The sequence below is a fragment of the Homo sapiens genome, chromosome 15, assembly GCF_000001405.40.
Source record: "Homo sapiens chromosome 15, GRCh38.p14 Primary Assembly".
Lineage (NCBI taxonomy): Eukaryota > Metazoa > Chordata > Mammalia > Primates > Hominidae > Homo > Homo sapiens.
In genome coordinates this window covers 60464891-60485094 of record NC_000015.10, presented here as the reverse complement: position 1 = coordinate 60485094, position 20204 = coordinate 60464891, and the positions used below count along the sequence as shown (strand labels likewise).

At 38.1% G+C, this 20204-nt stretch overlaps 1 protein-coding gene and 1 long non-coding RNA gene across 17 annotated transcripts in view, besides 2 other annotated features; one reads left to right on the top strand and one right to left on the bottom strand.

Moving 5' to 3' along the window:
• The window catches only part of RORA-AS1 (RORA antisense RNA 1), a 151462-nt gene extending 145545 nt beyond the window's left edge, over positions 1-5917 (bottom strand). For all 4 annotated transcript variants that reach the window (NR_120342.1, NR_120341.1, NR_120339.1 and 1 more), the window contains exon 1: positions 5697-5917. This is a non-coding gene — a long non-coding RNA (RORA antisense RNA 1). The remainder of the gene's footprint in view (positions 1-5696) is intronic.
• Positions 5953-20204, top strand: part of ICE2 (interactor of little elongation complex ELL subunit 2) — a 59534-nt gene continuing 45282 nt past the window's right edge. For 5 of the 13 annotated variants that reach the window (NM_024611.6, XM_047433029.1, XM_047433031.1 and 2 more), the window contains exons 1-5: positions 5953-6092; positions 7026-7158; positions 8928-9032; positions 16773-17034; positions 18382-18501. In NM_024611.6, coding sequence (NP_078887.2) covers positions 7118-7158; positions 8928-9032; positions 16773-17034; positions 18382-18501 — 528 coding nt within the window. In that variant the 5' untranslated portion in view covers positions 5953-6092; positions 7026-7117. Of the gene's footprint in view, positions 6093-6434; positions 6528-7025; positions 7159-8926; positions 9033-16772; positions 17035-18381; positions 18502-20204 lie in introns of those variants that run through there. The other 8 variants (XM_017022569.3, XM_047433027.1, XM_047433032.1 and 5 more) reach the window with 4 other exon arrangements.
• Positions 6152-6679: an enhancer, noted in NCBI's record as "NANOG-H3K27ac-H3K4me1 hESC enhancer chr15:60770615-60771142 (GRCh37/hg19 assembly coordinates)". NCBI's record gives its function as "activates a minimal SCP1, AML or CMV promoter by ChIP-STARR-seq in naive H9 embryonic stem cells {active_cell/tissue: H9 hESC(naive)}" and the evidence as "EXISTENCE:reporter gene assay evidence [ECO:0000049][PMID:30033119]".
• Positions 7002-7121: an enhancer, noted in NCBI's record as "active region_9508". NCBI's record gives its function as "activates an Ori minimal core promoter by ATAC-STARR-seq in GM12878 lymphoblastoid cells {active_cell/tissue: GM12878}" and the evidence as "EXISTENCE:reporter gene assay evidence [ECO:0000049][PMID:35858748]".

Genomic DNA, 20204 nt, shown 5'->3' with positions numbered 1-20204 from the left:
ACACTGCATTCTAAAGACAAATACAATTTTTAAATTATTCTGCTTGGAATTATCTCTGTTATCAACTTCTCTCTGTAGAACACTTACGCGCTATAAAAGACCATCTTTCAAGTGAACAATGATTTCTGGGGTTTTTTTCAGCCCAGGGGCCACATAATACAGAACATATCTAAATATATTTTAGAAAATATTATCTTCTGAGTAGAAAAAAATCGAAAACTTTAGCCATTCTTGTTCTTACATAGCATATCCTAGGCCAGAGTATTTTGCTGGTTTTTGGCATTGATGATTCCCTCTCCACTTGAAACACCATTTATTGCTGAAAGGCCTGATTTGAACAAACTGCAATTAGCGACAATATTTTCCCCAAAAGTTTCTGAGTCAATTACTAGATTGAAACCTTTTTGCTAGAGGACTATTTCTGGATTCTCATTTTGAAAATACCTTATGGAGGATTGTAAATTCATGAGGCAATTCCCTGAGTGAAGCAGTTACCAAGCTGTAAACTATTCCAAGGCCAAGTTCACCCCGAATCAAGCAAAGGCAGCTCATTAGCTGAGGGGTAGGAAAATGACTTATTACTGATTTAAAAAAAGAAAGATGATCTTGCACATTTCTCTGTCTTGATTTGGTCCCCAAGAAGAAATGAACACCTAGTAATTGCTTAGTTAATGTTTGCAGTTTTTAGAGTTCTTTTTTAAATTCTGGTCCAATTAAACATTTTGTAAACTCAAAGAAGTACACACTGTTATAAACTCTTTCAAAATTAAATTGGCTTCTCATTCAACTTCTGGGTTTGTTTGTTCCCCAGTTTACCAGAAATGGAAAACCGCATCTTTCTTCTGCTTAAAAATCCACAGAATAAAATGGTGCAATTGCTGTGGGAAACAATCTGACAGTTTTCTAAAAAGTTAAACATAGGCTGGGCATGATGGCTTACACCTGTAATCGAGCACTTTGGGAGGCCAAGGGGAGGATCACCTGAGGCCAGGAGTTTGAAACCAGTGTCAGCAACATAGAAAAAAAAGTTAAACATAAATTTACCATACAACAATTCCACTCCTAGTTATCTACTCAAGGAAATAAAAATGCAAAGTTCACACAAAGACTTGTACATATAAAATGTTCACATAAATGTTGTACACATAAATGATGCCCTCAGCAACATTATTCAGAAAAGCCAAAAAGTAGATACCATCTAAATGTTCATCAAATGTTGAAGGGATAAACAAAAAGGGCATATCCATAAATGAGTTACTATTGAGCAACAGAAAGGAAAAAATACTAATACATGCTACAACATGGATGATCCTTAAAACATTATGGTAAGAATCCAGACACAAAAGACAACATATTGTATGATTTCATTAAATGAAATGTCCAGAAAAGGCAAACCTATAGAGACAGAAAGTAGATTAATGGTTGCCTGGGGCTGGAAAGAGGGACTGATTACAAATGGGCACACAGGATTTGGGGGTTAATGGAAATGTTCCAAAACTTTATCATGTTGAGGGTTGTGAAACTTCACACATTTACTAAAAGTCACCTAATGGTACAATTAGAATGAATGAATTTTATGGTATGTAGCTTATAACTCAAGCTATTTAAAACACAGATACACAAACATATACACACACAGATTCCCCATAATGCAGAGAATAAAGTCCAAAATCTCTAGCATGGCAATGAAGACCATCTCTAGTCCGCTTCACCATTTCCAGTCCAACAACCTTCATTTCCCCAACACAGCGATGCAACAGCTTTTCCTCTTCCCCAGAATATGTGGAGCTGTTCACACTTCTGTGATTTTTTTTCCCACAGTTAAAACCCACAACCCCTTTTCTACCCAGTGAACTCCTACACATCCTTCAAGACCCAAAATAAATTAAACTCCTCTGAAGTAATCTCTAAATTATCTCCATCAGAATGAATTTCTTACTCATTTGTGGTCCCATGGAATCTTCTATATATATATGTATACCATTTCCTTTTTTTTTTTTTTTTGAGACTGATTTCACTCTTGTTGCCCAGGCTGGAGTGCAATGGCGCAATCTCGGCTCAGTGCAACCAATGCCTCCCGGGTTCAAGCGATTCTCCTGCCTCAGCCTCCCAAGTAGCTGGGATTACAGGCATGCACCACCACGTCAGACTAATTTTGTATTTTTAGTAGACACGGGGTTTCTCCATGTTGGTCAGGCTGGTCTCGAACTCCCAACCTCAGGTGATCCACCCACCTCAGCCTCCCAAAGTGCTGGGATTACAGGCGTGAGGCACCGCGGCCGGCCCACCATTTCTTCTTTGCATTATAGGTCTTTGTACAGTGCCATCTCCACTGTGTTTTGTTCATCTTTGATTTTTCTTTCAGAAAAATTATATACTAATAGCTAGTATTTGTTGAACATTTACTCTTTGCAATGCACTTTATATATATATTACTTCTAGTCCTCACAACAATTCTGTAGGTGAGGTATCACTGCCTCCATTATCCAGATGAAGAAACTGAGACTCAAGAGGACACACGACATGCCTAGGATCACAGTGCCAGTAGACAGAAAAACTGAGATGCCAACCTGAGACAGATAACTACTGGAATCCAGAAGTCCATGTTCTTGCCACTAAGCTTCTTGTGGTTCACAAAACAGAAAAGAAAGGATGCATATATTTATTGTATTTTATGTTACTCCGCTGGGGCTGCTATGACAATTCCATAGCCTGGGAGGCTTAAACAAGAGACATTTATTTTCTTACAGTTCTGGAGGCTTGGAAGTCCAGATCCAGCTGCCAGCCAATTTGGTTCCTGGTGAGAACTCTGTTTCTAGCTTGCAGATGGCTACCTTTTTGCTGTGTCTTCACTTGGGGGAGAGAATGAGCTGTGGTTTCTCTTCTTCTGACAAGGGCATGAACTCCATCATTGGGGCTGCACCCTTGTGTCTTAATCTAAACCTACTTACCTCCTAAAGATACCACCTCCAAATACCATTAGGATTCCTTGTAGTAAACAAAAATTATAGGAGGCCATTAGGCTCCTATAATATGACATATGAATTACATATTCATATAAGATATGAATTTTGGGAAGATGCACAATGCACACGTTGGCAAGAATTATGAGACCTGAGTTTTAGTATCAGTTTTATCATTGATCATGTGATGTTGGAAAAGTCACTTGACAATCTTGAAACGAGCCCATTTCCTTGTAAGGAAAACAAGAGGGTTGGACTAGATAATCTCCAAATCGTGTTCTGATTCTAAAAATTCTGATTCTGTGTGCTATCTTGCAACCATTGAAACTCAGATATACCAGTTCAGAGCATACTGTTTGGTGATGATCTGAAATCTCAACACAGAGCTGTATGGTAATGCTACCATATCACACTACCATGGGCAGGTACCTCCCAGCAGCATGAGCTCTTAAACAATTAGAGCAGTTCCTTCAGGCCAGGTCAGGTGTCCCCAACTCTTCCTGACTGCATGCTTTGTGAGACAGTACCCAACACATGAACTTTTACGCTGCCTTTGTCCTACACAAGCCATCCACATCACTTACCTAATAAGAAATACTATCTGCAGCCAGGCATGGTGGCTCACGCCTGTAATCCCAGCATTTTGGGAGGCCGAGGTGGGCGGATCACGAGATCAGGAGTTCAAGACCAGCCTAACCAACATGGTGAAACCCTGTCTCTACTAAAAATACAAAAATTAGCCGGGCGTGGTGGTATGCACCTGTTATCCCAGCTACTCAGGAGGCTGAGGCAGGAGAATCGCTTGAACCCGAGAGGCAGAGGTTGCAGTGAGCCAAGATCGCCCCACTATACTCCAGCCTGGGCGACAGAGGGAGACTCCATCTCAAAAAAAAAAAAAAAAAGAAAAGAAAAGAAAAAAGAAAAAGAAAAAAAGAAATGCTATCTGCACAGTGCCAGGCATTGTAGTGGTTGATTTTTTTAAGCATTCACAAACACTGTCTCCTAACTGGCCTCCTCCCTTCAATGAATTCCGTAGGTTGCCAGGTGAACTTTCCTGAAGCACAGCCAGCCAGTTCTGATTGTGTCATTATGTAAGCTTTTTTGTTTGTTTGTTTCCTAGCATTTTATTTCTTATGCAATAAAGTCAAACTTCCTTAGTCTGGCTTATAAAATCTTACGTGTTCTAGCTTCAACCAGTTTTTCCAACCCCTTTTCCTCTACTACTCTTCAGAGACCTTGCATTCCAGGCAAAATAAACTACCTATGGTTTCCTGTAGCATATTTTTTACATTAACATAATTTCTAACAATATTCTAAATCAGTCTAAAATGTCAGCCAGGGGTAGTGGCTCACACCTGTAATCCCAGCACTTAGGGAGGCCAAGGTGGGCAGATCACTTGAGGTCAAGAGTTAAAGATCACCCTGGCAAACCCCATCTCTACTAAAAAAAAAATACAAAAATTAGCCAAGTGTGGTGGCATGCACTTGTAGTCCCAGCTACTAGGGAGACTGACGCAGGAGAATCGCTTGAACCCAGGTGGCAGAAGTTGCAGTGAGCTGAGATCACACCACTGCACTCCAGTCTGGGAGACTCTGTCTTAAAATAAAATGTAGAACATGCTTCCCTAATAGCACACACTAGATTCTGTTTATGCAATAAGTTTATGCAGTTCCTTGTATTAAAAAAAATTATAGGAGGCCATTGTTTAGAACTTCTGCACTAGACCCCAAGAGACCAGACTAAAATAAAAATGGTATCACTCAGGCTCACCACACCGAAACTGAGTTATGTGGCCCTCCAAGAAATCAGGAGACAGAGGTAACAGGCCAGTTTCAATTTTCAATCAGCAAGATAATGAATTTCCTCTGTTTTAGTCCCTACAGCAAAGAGTAACTTGAAGTAACCTGATGTTAACCAATCAGTTATCTTTCTATTGTACTGTCTGTCTCCACCTTACCAGGAAAGTAACTTTGAAATGATCAATCTGCTTTTTGTTCTTTGTTTCTACTTTCTACAGACCTTTTTTCTGTCCGTAATGCCAACCTCCTCTGTTCCACTCATTGGGACACTCATTCCATTTTATGGAATGAAGTGTTGCCTGATTCCAGAATCGCAATAAGGCCAACTGAGATCTTTAGATGTGTCAAATTTTTGTCTTTTGACACTTGTGCTGGTCTGTCTAGAACGCCCTTTCTCTTCATTCCACATACCCACATTCTTCAAATGAGCTCACACGGCAGGTGCTCAGTGCAGCAACTGACATGTAAGTACTCAATACTATTCAAAACTGCGTTTTGTCCCTCACACTAGCTATTCCTCTCCCTCTAACCTCAATCTATACACCTTTCTTATGTAGTTTATTACTTTCTATTGTATTTAATGTAAATGTCTTAGATTGCCAGAGATCCAAAGCACTGGAAAAATCAGTATTCAGTCTTAGTCCATGTGTACCCAGCACCAAGCACAAAGTACTCTGTTTACGGTCAATAAATCTTTCCGTAATGGATGAGAACAAAACTAGTGTTTGAACTCACAGCTAAAACTGGATGGGGAGTGGAGCGGAGGTGAAGGAGCACTTAATGAGGCCCTACTATGTGCCAGGTACTGTGCAGAGCACAGCTTCTTCCTTTGTTTCATTTAATCCTTTCCAAAAAACCGTATGATGCAGCAGTAACAATTTCATCTCCATTTTACATATGAGGAGTTTGGGTTACGGAAGTCAGGAAACTTGCCTGAGGTCACAACCAAGTATGTTTGGGTCTTTCCAGTACCGCACTTGTCGCTTGTCCGCCTTCCAATTTATCACTCCCCTCCTCTCCCCGACGAAGGTCGAGGACTTTCTAGGAAAACACGCAGTCTCCAACCACTTCCGCCTGGCGAGCCCAGTCTCGCACTTCGCTGCCAGAACCACAGCGAGCGCTTGTGGCGGGAGGAAAGGAGGGGAGCAGCCGTCAAGACGCAAGGCCCCGCCCACTATGTCGCTGAGACGTCATCACGCAGGGCCGAGTCGGCGCGGCCACATCCTTTAAATATGGTCTTTTTTGGGCGCGCGCGACAATGTGAGGAGTGGGGTGGAGCGTGTGTGGTGTGTGGCTGCGGCCTGGGCAAGAGCCGCCGCGGACCATGAGGTGGGCGGAAAGGCTGTGTTGCAGCCCAGACGCGGACGGGAGGGCGCTGCCGGGCCAGCGGGCGTGCTCATGCAGGGGCGGGAGGAGGGAACATGGCGGCCGGGCCAGGACCCTTTGCTCCTGGCTCTGCGCGGCTCCTACCCCTGCTTTGCTTGCCCTTTTACCTGCTTTTCTGGAACCTTGTTTCCCCTCTCTTTGCGTCCCCTTTCCCTCAGCCGTTTCTTTTGCCTTCCTCGACTATTCCCCCCCAGCTCCACACTGGGTCGAAGTGTGAGAGGTAGATTAAGTGGGAGCCGGTCGGGCCCGTTCGGTGTCGAGAGACCGACTCCTAAATTTGATTAGGTTCTCGCAGGTCACTTTATCAGTCTGCCTGGGGTCACAGGAGAAGTACTGAACATGAGAGATCAAGCCTGATTTGTAGTCCTGATGATGTCTGTAAGTGATCTTGTGAAATGTCACTTAAGTTGACCTCAAGTCTTCTCAAATGTGAGGTTCTTTGTGAAAGGCCTAAGATTCCTGATATCGAGGTAGCTTTTGTCATAAAGTGCCTGCCAGAATCTGCCCCATAACAAAGCATGGTCGGGAAAACAAAAGATTTATTTTGGCAGTAAGGGAATGGAAAACTGAGTTGACTTCCCGTTCCATGCCATCAAGTGGCCTAGTATGTAAGCAATGAGAACACCGTTCTGTTTCAGCTCTTATTTCCATAGTGAGTGTCCTGAGAGTAACACTCCCGGCGTAGATTAAATGGAAAAGGGCTCGTCCTGTATCGTCATTGCTGCTCTGCTACAAAGAACCTTGGGTCTGCTGTATTCTGTTTTAGGTGCCACAGTCTGTTGAGGGTAGATGTTTAGGGAGAGATTCTTCCTCACCTAATAGCACCTGGCCTAGCCAATCACTTGCTTTTGATCTTGGCCTTTTGTTTTTACTCAGCTGAGTAAGTTCTGGAGGGATCCTGCCTCTTGGAGCCTTCGCAGCCAGGCAGCTGTGAACTGTGAGCTAGAGTGAAGCAGAAATCTAGGAAGATGAGCTCCAAGATGGTCATAAGTGAACCAGGACTGAATTGGTGAGTTGTAGCCACTTTGTAATCCACTGAAGAGGAGTGTAGTGGGGCTGATGGTTGACATAAGAAAATAGATTTCTGGCATAGAGAGATTTGGAGGAAACAGAAAATACAAGTTTAGGGTCTCAGAATTTACCCTATCCTCATCTTCACATACGGAATGCTAGAGTTATGGCTGACTGTACTTCCACTCCTATAGTGGAACAACACAGTTCAGCACTCAAATTATTTTTAGGTATAATTCCCTCAGGTATTTATTGTTGGTCTCCTGTGAAGGAGAGATACTGGAATTTTCTTGAGTCCAAGAACCTTGGCCCATTTCCATACAAGTAATAAAAAAGACCCTCTTTAAGAATAGACATGCTTTTTGTTATATTGAAATCTATATCAAATGATATAAATGCATAGACTGTATTTTAAAAGTGTATGAGAACTTTGCAAATAGAGAACCTGGTTAAATAATATAGTGGTTTTGTAGCCATCTAGCTAATACATGTGCTGCTTTAGTTCATTTTAACACACATTTACTAAGCCAGCCAAGGAGGATCAAATGTTATAAATGGTTACAAAGAGTATTAAAATAGTACCTGACTCAGACTATTAAGTCAGTATGTTCATTGAGTATTTGTTTATTGCTAACAACACTCCCATCCCCAGGGAGCTCACAATCCCTGAGACCCTTTACTTTGTTTTTATATGATGTGCAGAAACTTAAGAATTTATTGAGATGTCACAGATACAATACCACGACAAGGTAATAAGAAACTATACTGATGCATAGCAAATAAGACTTTCTAATTTTACCATTAATACCTTAATATAGTTTTTTGGATAAATGCCTTTAAGAACAGTTTAAAAAGGAGAAGAGTATGGAGCAAATATGCTAGAATTTCCTATCTGGGCACTAGGACACCCAGAAGTTACCATTTGATTAGGTAAGAGGTATGCACATTTGCATTCCTTGCCAGTGCTATAAAGTATGCATTCAGATGTAGCACAGATGCTCTTGTATACCACCGGCATTGTGGAACTAGTTGTGGTTTAGAACCTTTGCACAATATTGTAGCCCTTGGAATTATCCTTTTCCACGGAATTTTACTGACCTTTGTCCTCCCTAGTAACGTTAATGGATTCAGTGTTTTCAAGTTTTTAATTCCTTCATTCAAACAGCATTTTTGGATGCCTAACTATATGGAAAGCATTGAATATAATATGTTAGTCTCTAAATTAATTATGGTGTTATGAAAAATCATATCACCTTTGAGGTGGTTTTAGCAAACCAGTTATCCCATTTGCCAAAGTAAACAAAATAGCTAGGCTATTTAGTCTTTGTAGTGTCTTTTGGCTCAGCACAGTAGTGCATGAAACAAAAATAAGTTGAGAAGTGTTTTCAGCAACCAAGTATCTTAATGTTATGTCCTAGAGCCAGAAGTGAGGCCAGCCTTTGACAGACCCTTGATTATACTTCAGTCTTTTCTATCTTTAACTTTCCAGTCTCTGTGACATTTATTTAATTGTGTACTACAGAAAATGTAGAGCTGATTATTGGAGCTGGAGAATTCCATAATGGGCCTGGGTTTAAAGCTATCCAAGAAGTAACACTTCTAAGCCCACAGATCTGGTATATGAAATTAAACATAGTAAGAAGAGATTGTCTGGGGATGGGGGGGTAAGAAGGTATGAAATTGTAAGTTACAATTGTGCCATTATGTGTCATAGTCTAGCATGAGATTTTGAATTGTCAAATGTAAGTAAATTACTTTGTTTCACAGGGATATTTCCCCCAAAAATGGCCTTAAGACATTTTTCTCTCGAGAAAATTATAAAGATCATTCCATGGCTCCAAGTTTAAAAGAACTACGTGTTTTATCCAACAGGTAATATGTTTATTTGGTTATTTATTTCCATATTTGATGGTCGTTTTTCTGATAGTTGAAGTTTTATGTGTATCTCTAGTATTAAACATTCAAATTATAGAAATGTTTAAAGTAAAACAACTTTTAACACTGGTATTTATCTTTTCAGACCTTCATTCCTTTCTCCACACATGAACTGCAAAACAATTTTATAGTATTTTATAATACTATGCTAAACTATCCCAATATTTTTATAATACTGTACCAATATAGTATAATACTATGGAAACATTTATACCAATAAATGTTTTAGTATGGTACCAATATTATACTAATAATTGTTTAGTATAGTACTAAGCAGTATACTGTTTATAACGTGTACACGCACACATACATATACAGGTATATAATACAAAATGGGATCATACTAAAAATATACTATAAAACTGTTTTGCAATTATCTGTCATTTAAAGTGATATTTTGAATATCTTTTCATGCCCCAGCATTTAGTTCAATCTTAATGGTTGCATATTACCTCACTATATAGCCTATAGATGTACTTTTAATTCATTTAACTAGTCTTGTGTTGCAAAACGTTGTGTTCCCTTTTCTTCTTTTTTTTTGGTAATTAAAAACAATATATTGGTGAATTTTTATAGTTATTTCTGTAAGATATACTCACAGAAATTGAATTGTTTGGTCAGACAATATGTACAGTTTATATTTTAATAGATATTGCCAAATTGCTAAAGGTTTTTTTCCTCTCTGATATTTAATGACTATTAAGTGATAATTTTTACTTCTTACTGCCAACTTGCCTGTAGTAGCTCTTCTTTGCTTTTTGATCGACTATTTCTACTCTGTTGTTGATGAATCCGGAAACCAAGTAATTGAGTTTACTAGAAAAATGTATAAATACACCAAATGAGGAATTAGGAAACTCCCCCAGGGAAGCTCAACATTTACTTTCTTCGTTTCTCCTTTTACAGTGGAGGAAACGTATCTCCCCATCTTTTCCTGCTTTCTCAGTTATCTTTTCTGTCCGTTGTCCCCTCTTACTCCTCTATCTTTGTTCTTTCCCATTTTCAGTCATCTTGATTACTTTTTCGTTTTTGTTTTGTTTTTGAAGAGACATGGTCTTGCTGTGTTGCCCCGGTTGATCTTGAACTCCTGGCTTCAAGTGATTCTCCAACTTGGCCTCCCAAAGTGCTGGGGTTACAGCCAGGAGCCACTCTGCCTGGCCAACTTAATCAGTATTTGAACATGCTCAAGTTTTCCTGTTTTAAATAATCCCTGGACTCCACATATTCTCCTAATTACTTTCTTACCTTTTCTCTCATTTATACTTAGACTTCTTTAAAGACTTACATATGCTCACTGGGAAGAAATAAGGAACAAAAAAGCTGTAAGACATACAGAAAACAGTAGTAGTAAGTCCTTCCCTATCAATAACTTAAATGTAAATTAATTAAACTCCCCAATCAAAGGATGGATTGGCAGAATGGATTTAAAAACAGGACTAACAACTTTCCATTTACTGCACATCCTACTACACTTGCTGGGATTACAGGCATGAGCCACCATGCACGGCCTATAGCTGTATTGTATTCTATAGTTGGGTGTATATAATTTTTAAATTGACCTCTGTTGATATTTAGCTTGTTTCCGTTCCTTTACTGTTAGAAACAGTGAGCAGCCTTTTTACATGTGTTTGTATAAGTAGGATAAACTGTCAGTGGAGGGTACGTATATATATTTATTTTGATAGATATTGCCAGATTGCCATTAAAAAGCATTAAAGAAAAAAGTGCTTTTTTGATTCCATCAAATGAATGTGTAAGTTTACGTAAAAACAAGCAGAAGTTGTATTAAAGAGACAATTTTAGTCCAGGCTCAGTGGCTCACACCTGTAATCCCAGCATTTTGCAAGGGTAAGGCAGGAAGATGACTTGAGGCCTGAGTCTGAGACCAGCTTGGGCAACAAATTGAGACCCCGTCTCTCCAAAAATAATTTGCTGTGTGTAGTGGCACATACCTATAGTCTTACTTAGGAGGCTGAGGCACGAGGATCACTTGAGCCCAGGAGTTTGAGACTGCAGTGAGTTGTGATTGTGCCACTGTATTCCTGCCTGGGCATCAGAGTGAGATCCTGTCTACAAAAAAAAGAGACAATTTTTTAAAAATAAACGTTTTAAAGAGGCAGTTTCAGAAGCAACTTTCCTCTTGCCAAAGTGCATAATTATAATGTCTGTGCTAATGTCAGATATACAAAGTTAAAGCAATAGACTCCCTATGTATGTACATTTATGGATATTTTTAAAAACTATTTGTTATTCAACTTGTAAAGTTTTTTGAGGATAACTAATTTCTTAAAACTTACTACCAATTAAAGAATTGCCATTGTTTATTTGGATCAAAAAATGCCTATAAATTCTGTTGTCCTGGGATTTAGAGAACATATGTCTATCTTTAAAAAAAGAATCATCTCAGGTCAGGCGTAGGTGGCTCACACCTGTAATACCAGCCCTTTAGGAGGCCAGAGCAGCTGGATCACTTGAGCCCAGGAGTTCAAGACAAGCCTGAGCAACATGGTGAGACCCTGTCTCTACAAAAATACAAAAAATAGCCAGGTGTGGTGGTTGTGTGCCTGCAGTCTCAGCTACTGGGGAGGCTGAGGTGTGAGGATCACCTGAGTCCAGGGAGGTTGAGGCTGCAGTGAGCGAGGATGACGCCACTGCACTCCAGCCTGGGCAACAGAGTGAGACCCTCTCTGTCTCTGTCTCTGTGTGTGTGTCTCTCTCTCTCACTCACTCACTCACACACACACACAAATAATCTTGGCTGGGCACAGCAGCTCATGCCTATAATAACAATACTTTGGGAGGCTAGGGGCAAGAGGATCACTTGAGGCCAGGAGTTCAAGACCAGCCCGGGCAACATATCAAGACCTTGTCTCTACACATAATTTAAAAATTAGCTGGTGTGGTGGCATGCACATGTGGTCCCAGCTGCTTGGGAAACTGAGGTAGGAGGATCACTTGACCCTGGGACGTCAAGGCTACAGTGAGCCATGATCACACCACTGCACTTCTGGACAACAGAGCAAGACCCCATCTCAAAATTTGAGACCTTATCTCAAATTAAAAAAAAACAAAAAAACAACTTATTTGAACTTTTCTCTCAGCCTTTCTCTTTTCACACTAAAAATTTCAGGTATTAATCTTCATCTTGCCACTGCTTCTCATTTTATTTTTAATTTTAGAGTTGGTGTCTTGCCATGTTGCCCAGGCTAGACTCAAATTCCTGGGCTCAGGTGATCCTCCTACCTCAGCCACCTGAATAGACGGGATTATAGGTGCACGCCAGTGTGCCAAGTTTATTTTTACGGTTCTTTTCAAGTCCACTTCTGTTCAGCATATCCCAGGTGTGGGTTATAGCCTGGCTTTGTACAAGGAAAAAGGCATTTTGCTGGAAGTTGGGCATACCTAACTCCTAAAATATTTTTTTCTTAGAATATCCTTGTTTTCTTTAGATTTCTATAGAGCACAAAATAATCTATTAGTATAATTTACTTTGTACTATAGAAAAAATACACAAGTTATTGATATGATGTTTCTAGTCTTTTTTCCTAACTTTGTTTTATTAAGAATTATTACAATCATTGTTACAGTAATTACTGTAATAATTCTTAATTGCTGTAATAATTATTACAGTTATTTCAGGCTTTATTGTTTACAACTGTTTTCTTGTTGAAAAACAAGGCCTTTTATTCTGTTAATTTCAAGATAAAAAAAATTTTCCTTTTACTCTCTGTGCTCCATAAGTGTTTGTAAAATGAAAGAACAACTCGAATAGTGTTTTTACAAATGAATAATATAAAAAGTTAATATTGTGTTACTTTTCTTTGAAGCATGAAAAAAAATTATAGAATATTTGGAAAGTCCCCCAAGAAAATAAAAGAGGATATTAAAATGACCCATGAGCCGTTCATGTAGAAATAGCCACTGTAAACGATTACCTTTTTTTTTTAATTAAAGTTTCTGTTTGCAGATACTCGTAACTGAGTTTTAAGCAAACAAGCGGGGAAATAGCTTTAAATGGAAATATATATATATAAAGCTCTAACACGTTTAACTTAGGAAAATAAATCAAACTCAGAAGATACTAGTAGACTTGAAATGGAGACTAGAAGCACCATTTCCAAATGCTACTTTTAAATAAGCTACCAAACCAGTACTTAAAGTATAGGAAACTTAAAGTTTTGGATTCTACCCTGTTTGTTTTTTGTTTTTTGTTTTTCCATAGAAACTTTGAGAAAGGAGAATGGGTAGTTGACAAAATGCAGGGGCAAAACTTCAAACCATCAACCAAAATAAAATATAATGCTGTATACGTGAATAGAGAAACCCTGTCAGATGCTTTTGGTTTACACCCTGATGAAGTTCTTGACAGCACTGCACAAGGAAATGATCTTGATGTGCTACCATTTCATTCTTTGCTGAATGTAGCCAATTTAAACTGCTAGAATTTCTTGACATTCCTAGTCTGGCGTATCTGAGTCAGCATCTTGTTGCTGCAGCAGCTTAATTAAATTTGCCAGTTTGTGGCACAAGGACGGACATGTTCTCATATTCAGAGTGACAGCTGTGAAGCAGTACTGTTAAGAGTGAAGACACAATACTGTTAGGTTTGAAGAGCTCTCAAGACGTTTTCTAGTGAGAAGTCAATTTGCTGTAATACATTTCTCCCAAGATCAGCAGTTAATGTTCATTTTGTTTACCTAAAATATGCTTATTTTTATACAATTATTTGAGAAACTTTAGTAGCTGTGTCTTTTTTTTACCTGTGTTATTTTCAGAGCCAACCTAAGCATCCTAATTTTAATTTCCAAAATTCTTCTCTCATCCCCTTATCAGCTCTTTGAGTAGTTTTTTATCCATTGTTTAGCTCTGAGAGAGTGGTCTTAAATATTTTTGCTTTATTTGGGGACCTACATATTTCTAAAATAGTGTTGTCATCTTTTGGAATTTTTGCCGTATTTATTCTAGTATTATAAAGTTAATTTAAAACTAATCAGTAGTAGTTTTGGATGGAATGTAACTCACCCTTTGTCCAGATGCAGATCTAAATTAGTAGTTCTCAGCCGTATCAGACTGATACCCTCCCACTTTTTATGACGGGTATTTATAAGAAATAAGATACCTCCTTTACTAGCTTAAAATGAAATTAATAGATATAATTTTTAAAAACAATAAATATATCCTATACCTATAAGTGTGAAATAATTTATTTTTTAATATTTAAACTCATAGACTACTGCATTATGAGATATAATGAGGTAGTGAGATGCATCAGTTAAAATGAATACAGTTCATTTATTTAAGTTCATTTAAAGTATTTAAGAGAAAATAAAGCATACCATAAAATAATCATAGGAAAAATAAAATGTACTGTTAGGATAAATAATAACAGACTAGACTTATTTGTATCTGGTAAGAGATAATAATGGACTAGACTTATTTGTACCTGGTAAGAGAAAGCCTGAAGGGGACTGTTAAAATATGCAGGATAGTACTGCATATTGCAGGCATTTAGTATTCCCCCTTCTGAATGCCTTTAATTCCCCCCTTTTGTGACAATCCAAATACACCTACAGGCTTCCAGAATGCCCTGGGGACATTAAAACTGTCATGATTGAGAACCACTGCTATGGATATTTTCTCTTTCTTCTCTTTCTTTCCCTTAATCCCTGATCATTATGTTCTTAGGATTCTCTTCAGTCATGTATTTGGTGTGTTCACTTTGGAAACCTAAGTTCTCCATAGTCCCATTGTGTTGATGTACATATCTACTTTTCTTTCTTCTTCATTGACTTGTCTAATGCACTTGATTATAATGTCCTGGAGTTGGAGATGGTACTATGCTTAGTGTTGTATTTCCAGTACCTGGCATAGGCTGGCACATGGTAGTTAATAAATATTAACAAATGGAGGAATGAAGAATGAGTCAGCAGATGTCCATCTTTCTCTTTAGTTTCCCTTCCTCTGTGGATTGTTGTGTAATTTGGAGCCAGGTTATAGGAACAGTTAACTGTGGTGGAAGTTATAGTGTACAGGCCAAGAAGTATAGTTTTTGATGCACTTCTAAAGTCTCTTATTTAAAATGTAGATTACAATAACTGAATAGCAAAAATAGAGATGGATTATGAATAAGATAAGGAAGTTGTGTTCATATACTTTAATTTGGATAAGGTGACTTCTTAAAAGCAGGGGTAGCATTTGTGAATCTAAGTAACAGAGAAACTCTCTAAAATAAAAGAAATTTATTTGGGAGTAAAGCATTGCAATGGGAGTATGTATGCCATGGTAAACTATGTGCGTATTCAGGGAGGTAAAGGAGGACAAAGATTTTTAAAGTAAAAAATTAGGATTATCTGATTGTTTTGAAATAGTTATACTTGATCTTTGAAAGATGAATAACAAAGGTGACACCAATCCAAGGACCGGCAGTTCCTGAACAAATACCCTTGCAGAAATATTTTGTTATGAGGAATTCAAACATGAGAACTCTGTCTTCATGGCCTTCACTAGCTCTTATTATCAGGGGTTTTGTGTTTTTTGTTTTTTGTTTTTTTTTAAGTTCCAGGGTGCATGTGCAGGATGCGCTGGTTTGTTACGTAGGTAAACGTGTGCCATGGTTGTTTGTTGTACTTACCAACCCATCACCTAGGTATTAAGCCCAGCATGCATTAGCTATTTTTCCTAATGTTCTCCTACCCCAACCCCACCCCGCAACACGCCCATGTGTATTCCCTTCCCTGTGTCCATGTGTTCTCATTTTTCAGCTCCCACTTATAAGTGAGAACATGTGGTGTTTGGTTTTCTGTTCATGCGTTAGTTTGCTGAGGATAATGGCCTCCAGCTCCATTCGTGCCCCTGCAAAGGACATGATCTCATTCCTTTTTATGGCTGCATAGTATTCCATGATATTAAGGGATTTTTAAACATTGGTGACTCCATTGTGATTCTAACAACCTTCACACATTCCATAAACACATATGGTAACAGGTTCTGAAGCTACTCACTACTTTCTCTTCTGGTACATTTCATTAACGATACGCCAGGATTTTTCTTTGGCATCCATGAAAAGCATAAAGTCATTTCCATGAACTCAGCCATGTACCAGAGTGATAGAGGATTGTACAACTTTTCCAAAACCAATACTGCTTTCAAAAAATATGGTGCATAATGTTAGAATTTTCTTAATTTTTGAGATAAGCAGAGGAAATCAGAACATTTAGAATCTCAGTGAATTTTGTTAATCTCAAATTTGTGATTCCTTTACATTCTGTTCTTAGTAGCTTTTATTCACCATATTAACTGATAAATCTTAGTGATGAATTTAAGTATTAAAAACTCAAATTTAATAAAATGTAAACATAAAGTACCTGCATGTGTAATTGGCAAGAACGATTTTCCCCTCTTTATTAATGGGAAAAAAACTTCTAAATTGAATAAGTATACCTCTTCCTCTCCATCAGGTAATTGAAGGTAAGTTTGCATTGTGATCATATGCCACAGAATACTTAATCTACTTTAAATGGCTAAACATCAAAATGCAGGTGGCAGAGTTAGATAATAATCCAGAGTTTACTCTGTTAATCACGCTATATTCTCCCTGGTGATTGAGAATCATGAAGTTCCATGATAGTAATCTTCATGTGAAAAGCACATATTTGTAAATTATATTTTGTTTTCCAGACGTATAGGAGAAAATTTGAATGCCTCAGCAAGTTCTGTAGAAAATGAGCCGGCAGTTAGTTCAGCAACTCAAGCAAAGGAAAAAGTTAAAACCACAATTGGAATGGTTCTTCTTCCAAAACCAAGAGTTCCTTATCCTCGTTTCTCTCGTTTCTCACAGAGAGAGCAGAGGAGTTATGTGGACTTGTTGGTTAAATACGCAAAGATTCCTGCAAATTCCAAAGCTGTTGGAATAAATAAAAATGACTACTTGCAGTACTTGGTATGTATTGTGTTCTTCAGTTTCAGGAAAAAATAATAAAAATTAGGAAATATTTTTATCTTAAATTTACATTTATGTTTTTAGGTCCCGTCATTTTTTTTAAAATGGAAAACGTAAGGAGATTGAGAGAGCAATGGTGCTTTAATTCTTTTGTTGGTTCCATTGTAGTTCAAGCATTTTGCTCTACTTCTGAGCATGACTCACTCCAGTTCATCTTAAGTACTAGCAGTAGAATTTTACATAGATTATACCAATTTTAAATTATTGCTTAATTATTTCAATTAAGACATTTCCAAATTCTCAATTATATAAATGATGCTATGCTGAACATCTTTGTAGCAAAATCTTTGTTCATATCAATGATAGTTTCCATAAGATAAATTCTTAAAACTGCCAGATCAAAACCTATGCATGTTTTCAAAGCTTTGATCTGCAGTTACACATGCATAAATTGTTCTGCAAAAAGTTTAAACCAGTTTGTTTGTACCTCTGTTGTATGACAGGTTTTGAAAAAACTATCTTCTCTAATCCTACAGGGGTAAGGTAAAAGAAAATCGAAATCAAATTTAAAAAAAGAAAAAACTATCTTCACTAATATTGGACATTACCTTTTTTGCCTTTAATTTAAAATGGGAAAAATGATCTCTTGCTTTACATTAATTTAATTTATGATTACTAATGACAGTAAGCATTTTCCATATGTGTATAAGCCATTTTTATTTTTTCTTTGGTAACTTGCCTATTTATATTATTTGCTCGTTTTTCTATTCGGATGTATGTCTTTTTAAAAAAAATTGAGGCCAGGCCCAGTGGCTCATGCCTGTAATCCCAACACTTTGGGAGGCTGAGGCAGGTAGATCACCTGAGATCAGGAGTTCAAGACCAGCTTGGCCAACATGGCGAAACCCCATCTCTACTAAAAATACAAAAAATTAGCCAGGTGAGGTGGCAGGCACCTATATAGCCAGCCCCAGCTACTCAGGAGGCGGAGGTTGCAGTGAGCCGAAATCGTGCCACTGCACTCCAGCCTGGGCAACAAAGCGAGATTCTGTCTCAAAAAAATAAATTAAAAAAAAAAATTTTTTTTGACAGCATTTTATAAAATCAACTTCTCAGTTCCTGAGCATGTATTGTATAGTCTTAGTCATTTGCTTTTCTATTTTGTGGAGTTTTTAATAACAGTTTATCATTACTGCATAATAATTTTTACTGACTTCTTTGATTTCTGCTTTGGATTTGATACTTTAATTATTCTTTAAGTCCAAATTATTATAGCAATGATTAAGAATGTGATTCTTTTTAATGAAACTTTTTATCCCAAGACATGTCTACTTTTTTAAAAATCAGGATATGAAAAAACATGTGAACGAAGAAGTTACTGAGTTCCTAAAGTTTTTGCAGAATTCTGCAAAGAAATGTGCGCAGGATTATAATATGCTTTCTGATGATGCCCGTCTCTTCACAGAGGTAAAAAAACAACTCACATTTGTGTAAATTGCGAAGTGATAGGCAATAGCAGCATTCTGAAATATGTGATGATTCCACCAAAAGCATTCGGAACTGTCAGTGTTACCAATTTAAAAACCACAGGTCTTTTCTTCATCATGCATTAAAATAGTAGAAAAACTAACATCTCAAAATTGTGTACTATAGTATATTTTTATGTATATTTATATTCTTTAACAATCCAGCTACTGTATTGTATCATTACATTTTATTCACATAATAGTTTGAACTGACCCACTGACTTCCCTTGTGAGAGAATAGCATTTAAAGCGTTATCCTGGTCCCTAAAAGTCTGAATGGCCTTTTAAAACTCGGTCAAGTGAACTTGTGCTCATTATGTTTGTGGTAACCAGCCACAAAATGATAAATTTCAACTCTGAGTTCATTTTTGGATACTTCACTCATTCATGCAAATTTATTAGTAAGACCTGTATATCATCCCAGCTTGTACCCTACCATCATTCATTGAGCCTACCAGAAAATTAAAGTATACTACTTAAACAGGCCAGGCGTGGTGGCTCACACCTCTAATCCCAGCACTTTGGGAGTCCGAGGTGGGTGGATCACCTGAGGTCAGGAGTTCGAGACCAGCCTGGTCAGCATAGTGAAACCCCATCTCTACTAAAAATAGCAAAATTAGCCAGTCGTGGTGGTGGGCGCTTGTAATCCCAGCTACTCAGGAGACTGAGGCAGGAGAATCGCTTGAACCCGGGAGGTGGAGGTTTGCAGTGAGCTAAGATTGTGCCATTGCAGTCCAGCCTAGGTGACAGAGCGATACCCTGTCTCAAAAAAAAAAAAAAAAAAGAATAAAGTATACTACTTAAATAATAACTATATATATATACACACACACATATTTGTAGTAGAGTTTATAAATATCAGTCTAAATTTGTTTAAGCCTTTAAAGCTGGTCACTGTGAACAATAGTGTTAATATATTTAACACTACTGAACTCTACACTTAAAAAGGGATAAGGTGGTAAATTTTACCGTAGCTTAAAAAAACAAAACTAGCCAGTCTAAGTTGAAGGACAGCAGGAGTGTTACACTTTCACTGTTTTTTTAAAAAGTCCGGACACGGTGACTCACACCTATTGTTTCAGCCCTTTGGGAGGCCGAGGCAGAAGGATTGAGCCCAGTAATTTGAAACTAACCTGGGCAACATAATAAAATCCCATCTATACAAAAAGAATTATCTGGCATGGTGGCATGTGCCTGTAGTCCTAGTCACAGCTACTTGGGAGGCTTAGGTGGGAAGATCACTTAAGCCCAGGAGGTGGAGGCTGCAGTGAGCCTTGATTGTGCTGCTACACTCCAGCTTGGATGACAGAACGTGACCCTGTCTCAGAAAAAGGAAGGAAAAAAAAAACACTGTAAGGAAGAATTTTGCTGTTAATACGAACCAGAAGAATGGTTCTTCTAAATAAACGAATTTGATTTTTATTTTCTGTGAACCTAAATATATCCAAAGGGAATGTCATAATTTTCTATGTGGAAAAGGAGCTGGCAGCTGTTCTTGTTTTGATAGTGCCTTTTAAAAGACCAGAATGATGTTTTTAATACATAAGTCATAGTCCAGGCTGGAGTGCAGTGGCACAATCCTAGCTCACTGCAGCCTTGAATTCCTGGGTTCAAGTGATCCTCCCCAGCTCAGCCTCCTGAATA